We start from the raw sequence: 7,488 nt of genomic DNA, 5'->3' as shown, positions 1-7,488 counted from the left end.
TTCAGCTAATTAATCACACTGCTTTTTACAGATAGCCACTTTGGACCCCTGTGGCAAGAATGTGTTGGGTTCTATTTTAAAGCATACTGAAGCTCCTTGTAAAATGATTTCAGTGCCAAACAGTCTTGTCACTGGACATCACTGCCCTTGATAAAATTTCCTTTCCATCAACAAACTCCAGCCTGGCAATCCCAAACTGCCCCGTTATCAATATGCTTTCAGAAAACAGCAATAGTCAATACATACTGAGTGCTGGTCACAGCCAGGCACTGCACCAAGGGCTCTATATGCAAGATCTCATTGAATCCTCTCTGTAATAGTGTGACTTGTAGCCATTATTATTATTATCATTTAACGGATGTACAGACTAAGATTCAAAAACTTTGGGTAATTTGTTTGAGATGTTCCACTAGAAGGCAGCAGGGCTGGCTTTAAACCCAGGCCGAGGGACTCCAAAGTGCTTAACTTTTAAGCTAAACTTGTTAGTATATAGCCTTATATGTGTTCATTATTTTGTTGCTGTTTTTATTGTGTGATGTCTTAGTCTATTTTATGTTGCTATAACAGAATACCACAAACCGGATAATTTATAAAGATAAGAAATATATTTCTCACGGTTCTGGGAGTGGGAATATCAAGGTGCTAGCATCTGAGAAGGACTTTCTTGCTGCATCATCCCATGGTGAAGGGCAAGAGGGTGAGACAGGGAGAGGGAGAGAAAGCACAAGAGAGGGACAAACTCGCTTTTATAACAAACCACTCTCTTGATAACAAATCTACTCCTATGAAAGTGACATTAGTCTAGTAGAACAGCATCCTCATGACCTAATCACCTCTTAAAGGTCCCCACCCCCCTACACTGCAGTTGCACTGGGGATTAAGTTTCCAACACATAAATCTTGGGTACAAATTTAAACCATAGCATGCATTCCCTACTACTGTAGCACCCCAGGGAATGTGTGTGTTCGTGTGCACATATGTCTGTGTGTGTGTGTGTCCGAGAGAGAGAGAGTTAGAATGAACATCTGTAGGATGAAGGGAGAGACACATGTAGTTACTTCCAGATCCTTGTTCCCTGTCATTTTATGTGGTTTCTTCTGATCATCTGGATTGTCTGAAATAGAAAGCTCCTGTATGTCAAGGGCTTTGATTGACTTTTCTCAAAACCTAGGTGAGTGCCCCCATGCAAGCAGGTCCTCTGTGACGGCATCTAGATCACAATGGGGATGAATCAGTAAGTGAAAACTTCTGGGGAAGGAGGGAGGAGTCTGCTAGCTTCTTTCTGCCAAGATGAGCTGCGGTAGTCCTTTTCCTCCCTCCCCTCCTTTCTTTCTTCCCTCGTTTCTTTTCTTTTTCTTCCATGTCATTACGGAGAAGGGCACTGGAGGCTTACTGAAGAGCTTTGAGAAATAGCATAGAAGGCCCAGAGCATTACTTGTTTCCAGATGGTATGTGTGCGTGTGGATCTGGGGGGAATGTGGACCGTTTTGGTGGACTCTGGTGGCTTTTCCCCTGCTGGATTCCCTTTGGAGTGGTTTTCTTGGACGTGGGCAAATTTAAGATTTAAAACAAAATTCAAAGTGATGGAGTGCGGCTGACTTCTCTGAGGGTTTCTTCACTTCCAGATCAAGCTAAGGCTGTACCCTGGCTATGAATAGCCCAGCCTCCTGTGGTGTCCAAGCCTGGAGAGATTCTGTCTCATTCACTCCTGGTAGACTGGTTAACCCGGCCACAGGCTCCTTTTGCCTTCAGCGCTCCCCAACAGCCGATGGCTGGCCAGCATGTCCACCATCTTCATGCACAAGGTGTGCTCTACATTAAAGATCCTCTAACCATACAGCATTGTGGATAAGATGATTATCTGCTTTTTTCCTTCACCTTTGAGCCCAAACTCTCACTTACCATTAGGGCTTGAATGAGCTGCAAATCCAATGCAATCTAGAAATGCCCACCAAAAAGACGAATTTGAACTTTGCCTAGGGCCAAATTACGGGGGATAGGGAGGGTAAGGGAGGAAGAGAAAACATATTTCTTCTGCCTGTATCATTGCATTTACCCTAAAACCTTGTCTCTCCTACTGTGGGAAGAACTGAGCCATAGGGCCAGCAATCTGAGTGTGGGCAGCTTCTGGGTTTGAGTGTTTTCTTTCAAGTTCCCCCTCCCCGCCAGAGAATAAGCCCTCTGCTCCATGGCTGGCGTGGGCTGAGATCTGAGATTCTGTTAATTGTGGAGTGAAATTCTCCCAAGGAGGCGGACATTGCCATTGCGCCACCTGCTGGAAGATTGAAAAAGTATTTGAAACTCAGGGTTCAGCTATCCAACCAGTGGCTTCGCAATCAAAATGATTATTTTTCATAATTCCCATTTTGTCTTACTACACAAGTTACACAGGTTCATTGAAGACAACTTAGGAAGTTCACAGAAGTAAAACAAAACAAAAGTCATCCATAATTCTGTCACCCAGAGATAACCATTTTTTATATTTTGTTGGCTTTCCTTCCAGTCTTTTTTCTAGTTGGATATATGTAAATTCATATATGCTATTGATATCATTCAATAAACATTATTTTATAACTTGCTTTTTAAACTTAACAATAAATCTTAAATACCTTTACCTATTATTAATTATAATCTGCAACATGAGTCTTGCTTAGTACTTTTTTAATATTCCTACACCATACATCTACAGTCTATTCCTATACATTAATTACAATGTTTCTATGCTTTGATTTTTACTGAGTCTAGTTTCTCCCCTCCTTTTTCCTCCTCTTCTTTCTTTCCTTCTCCTTCCTTTCTTTCCTTCCTGCTTTACTTCTTTTTCTCTTTACTTATTTATTTCTCTCCCCTAACAAAAGTCTGCCATAGATGTTGTTTGGGGCAGTTCCTTGGGTGTGTCTATCTCACCCCGTCATAGAAGGAGCTCTAGAGACTTTCGCGTGGACCCTGGAGCTCTCTTCCAGGTGGGCTCTGCAGTCCTGCCATGAAAATAGAACATTCTTCACTCCGAATAGAGGCAGACAAGAAAGATGGAATCCCCATCTAGTGCCTCCTCCAGTGCCTAGTGAAAAACAGGAGGCTAGCAATTGCTGATCATGTGCTCTGTACAAGCCGGACTCCATTCTTAGAACTTGATATGAATTATCACACATAAGTGTCACAAAACCCTTACAAGATATAGTCCTTCCCTTCCTTCCTTCCTTCCTTCCTTCCTTCCTTCCTTCCTTCCTTCCTTCCTTCCTTTCTTCCTCCCTCCCTCCCTCCCTCCGTCCCTTCCTTCCTTGCTTCCTTCTCCCTCCCTCCCTTCCTTCCTTCTTTCCTTTCTTCCTTTCTTTCACTGGACAGCTTAGGACACCAAGCTTAAGAAAAGCACACAAACTTGCCCAAGATCACCAACAAGTAAAGCCTTAAACCTCAGTGTGCAATGACTGCCTGTTAAAACAAAACAAAACAATATTTCCAGCCTCTCTTGACAAATCAGAAGATTTGACAACACAGGTTTGCATTCCACTGTAACAATCATTAGCTGGAGCTGAGTAGTGGTGCCCATATTCCATCAGTACAGGCTCTCCAGTTGTACTGTCTCCACTTCTCATACATTCTCCTCATGGTAGAAAAGGACTCCCTACTGCCAACGGCACAATGGGACTGACTGACTTCAACTAACAGACTAAGAGAGTTTACAGAAAGAAAACGACAGGCTCAGAGCTGTATATTCCTGGCTCTGTCTGAGAACCAAGATGCGTCTACAGCTGCCCTAAAAAAAAATCATCTGTCTCTCCTATCCATGGGTGTGGAAAGGGATGTGGAGGATGCTAGACCATGGAGGGAGGAGCATAACTACAGTTCAGACTGAAGTCGTTGCTATGGGTGCCACTTCCAGAGCTACTAGAGTAAGTACACACATGGGTGTATGGGAGCAGTTGTTAGCTTCGTTGGCTGATGGTGGCCTGTGCTAAGTGAAGTTGATATAATATAGAACAGGAATTGGCAAACTTTTTCTGAAAAAAAGACAGGCAGTAAAAGTTTTGGGCTTTGTGAACCATGAGGTCTTTGCTGTAACTAAACTCCACTGTCAGAAGTGCTAGAGCAGCCATAGACAATATGTACATGAACGGGCGTGGCTGTGTTCCAATCAAGCTTTGCTTACACAAACAGGTGGCAGTGTTATTTACAAAAGCAGGCCATAGTTTGCCAACTCCAATATAGAAGAAGGAATCGAAAGATTTAAGAATAGGGCTGTTGGAGTGGATTTAGCCTCTGCAAACGATCCCATTTAAACTAGTTGGATTTTATTTTCTTCAATTGAGCCCTCACTCATACATCATTTCCACACTTTCTGTGACTTTTGAAAATGGTCAAAATAAGACATTTCCCTGCATACAATTAGGGATTGGGGATGGGATTTCAGATTTGGATTATCTGACTTGGGTTATTTTCTAAATTGTGTTAGTGATTGGGTTCTCAGCAGACCAGAACCCCCATGGAGGCTCCTCTTTGGACCCAGAACTTCTTAGGCTAGTGGAACCAGCAGAGGCAGAATCACCCCAAATGGGATTGGACCTGTGGGGAGGCCACGGTCCTAGAAACGCATCCTTCAAAGACCAGGCTGACAATATCATTTAACACAGCAATTTCCAGTCCCTGAGATGAGATTTGAGTCAGAACGAGAGGGAAGTAAAAACAATTTAAAAAGAGAAGCTGGAGAAGTCTAGGCATCTCTCATAAGTCTGGAGTCTCCGGATTCAAGAGTTCGGCCCAGAAAATGAGAAAGTGGGTGGAGAAAAGAACTGCCAGGGAGTGAAAGGCTGTCAGGGACTCTTATGTTTGTGTTTTACCTGAAGCCCCTGGTGGTGTGGGTAGTATAGGGAAAAGGGGAAAAGAGGACACTTCTAAGCTGGCTTAGTATAAATATATACCATTCTCTAAAGTTGGAAGGGAAGGGGCCTCCTCCATTACAAGGAACTCCCTGTCCTGTGTCCATGGATAACACTGCTGGCTGACAATGGTGCTCATTTCCAGTGAGCTCTGATGTGGTCCTGGTGGGGATTTATAGGCTTGTCAACTCAGCCTTCCGGGCAGCCTCCTGCAGTCAGTCAGGGCAGACCTTATAATAATGAATATAGTTCATACTTATAGGGCATCTGTTGTGTCTCAGGCCCTAGGCATTAGCTCCTCTAATTCTCACAACCCTATGAAGTACAATCTTCTCTCTGTATCCATGGGAGATTAGCTCCAGGACCCCTACAGATACCCAAATCCACAGATGCTCAAGTCCCTTATTGAAAGTGACGTAGTATTTGCGTATCACCTATGTGCATCTTCATGTGTACTTTAAATCATCTCTATGTAAGTCTCATGACTTATAACACCCAATGCAACATAAATGCTATGTAAATAGATGTAATACTATATTGGTTCTTACCATTTTTATAGTAGTATTGTTATTTTTTATTGTTTTTCTCACGAATATTTTTGATCCATGATTGGTTGCATCCACAGATGCAGAACCCACAGATACAGAGGAGTGACTGTAAATACGATTATTTTCCCCATTCTGCTCAAGATGAATTCCATTTTCCTGCATCCCAGATTCAATCCGCATGGCTTATTTTACACAAGAAGAAACTGGTCACATCACAGCAAATTGTAGAACTAATGAGATCCCAGATCTCTAAATAATCAGTCCATTTTCCCACACTGCTTCCTTGGTACAGGGTATGTTAGCATGCAGGCTAAGCTGCTAGAACAAAGAAACCCAAAAACACACTGGCTTAAATAAAAGAGAAATGTTATGTGTCTCTCACTAGGCAGTCCTAAAGTGAGCAGTTCAAGATACCTCTGCTCTATCAGATAATTCAGGACCCAGTTCGTGTGGCCTTGCCAGATTCCAGGATTGGGGATGACCTAGGTCTGGCCAATCAGAGTCATGTTAATTGGTCCAGTGCCCCAAGCAGGATCAAAGAGAGTCAGCCTAGGATTTCTGTTGGAACCATGGGGAAAAAGTCACTCCTTCTTATATGGGAGTGGCTAAACAAATCAAACATGGGCCTTAGAAGGCTTTTGGCTATTTTTACCACTGCAAGAGAAGACCCCAAGAGTGATGAAAATAACAGGGAAAATTAGAGCCAGCACAATGAGAGAAATAGATTCCAATGACGTTTGAGACCCAGAATCTGTCTTATGCATGAAGCCAATCTACCTCTGGACTTTTAAATTTTGTAAGCCGATAAGTGTTCATTTTTGACCAAAACTGTTTGTGATGGGTTTCTCTTATTTACAATGGAAAGAATCCTAAAAATATTGAGTTATTTCCTTAAGACCCACATTTCCTGCTCCTCATCCAGTTGCTATAGTGGGGCTCACAGCACCAACTCTGGAGGAAGAGGAGAGAAATTCCACTGAACTAAGAGGCCTGACACTTATCCTTGCAATGGCAAGGATATCTCACTCCTTCCTCCCAAGCCTCTTCTTAGCACGGCTCACTACCTCCTTCTCCCAAACACCATCCACAGGCAGCTCTTATATGGCTTCTTTTTTATTTAATATTTATTTTAACTTGATTTTACCTGAATATGAGTGTGTGTGCCTGTGAACGTATGTCCAAGCATGTGTGACAGTGGTTCTCAAAATTCAGTGTGCATCAGAATCACCTGGAGAACTTAACAAACACAGTTTCCTGGACCCAACCCCCAGATTTCATAATTCAGCAGGTCTGGGTGGAGCCTAACAATTTGCACTTCTAACAAGCTCCCAGTGACGCTGATGCTGCTGTCCAGGGACTATACTTTGTGAACTACTGGCATATGGGATGGGGGTAAAGAGTAACACCTGCCATTTCTAGAATGTTTTTCAATTTGTAAAGACTTTCAATGCAATGTATTTTAATTGAACCTTCTGGCTATCATGTAAGATAGGTAAGACAACTATTACTGATCTATCTATTTTACTCTGACCGGAAAACTCAGGCTCAGAGCGATTAAATGATTGACCAAGTACTCACAGCTAGGATTTGCGGAAGCTGAAACCAAAAATCAGAGCTCCTGACTGGAGTTATTTTTTGCATTCCAGTATGCTATCTGGTATGAAAATATAATTCAATATGAAGAAATGGCGGAAGGAGAGAGAAAAAGAAGAGAGGAGGGATCAACGGTAGGTGGGATGGCTAAAGAGAGAGAGTGAGAAGAGAGAGAGGGAGAAAGAGAGAGAACCTGGAACCTAAAATTGAAACCCTGGAAAACATGTGGCACACTGAAGACAATCATGGGCTTGGCATTGGTCAGCCCTGAATTTGGTCCCAGTTCTGCTACTGTTTCATCCTTGAAGCTTAAGAATATTTTTTAATGTCTTTGATCTCCAATTATGAAATGGAGATGATGACACCTACTTTGAAAGATTATTGTAATTATTTAATGAAATAACACACTCAAGCTTTTAGCAAGACCCTGGCCCAGAGTTAGCTGTGCACAAACTTTAGCCATTGGAATTTCA

The 7,488-nt window shown here is 42.6% G+C and overlaps 1 long non-coding RNA gene across 1 annotated transcript, besides 1 other annotated feature; it reads left to right on the top strand.

The window, feature by feature from the left end:
• Positions 1 to 1,273: 1,273 nt before the first annotated feature.
• On the top strand, positions 1,274 to 1,837 carry LOC101928385 (uncharacterized). The gene is made up of 2 exons (NR_188501.1): positions 1,274 to 1,448; positions 1,626 to 1,837. It is a non-coding gene; the product is annotated as an uncharacterized LOC101928385 (long non-coding RNA).
• Positions 2,085 to 2,164: an enhancer, noted in NCBI's record as "active region_4561". NCBI's record gives its function as "activates an Ori minimal core promoter by ATAC-STARR-seq in GM12878 lymphoblastoid cells {active_cell/tissue: GM12878}" and the evidence as "EXISTENCE:reporter gene assay evidence [ECO:0000049][PMID:35858748]".

Source organism: Homo sapiens, chromosome 11, assembly GCF_000001405.40.
Source record: "Homo sapiens chromosome 11, GRCh38.p14 Primary Assembly".
NCBI classification, from domain to species: domain Eukaryota; kingdom Metazoa; phylum Chordata; class Mammalia; order Primates; family Hominidae; genus Homo; species Homo sapiens.
The sequence above is the reverse complement of the archived record's forward strand: the minus strand, read 5'-3'. Positions and strand labels throughout refer to the sequence as shown.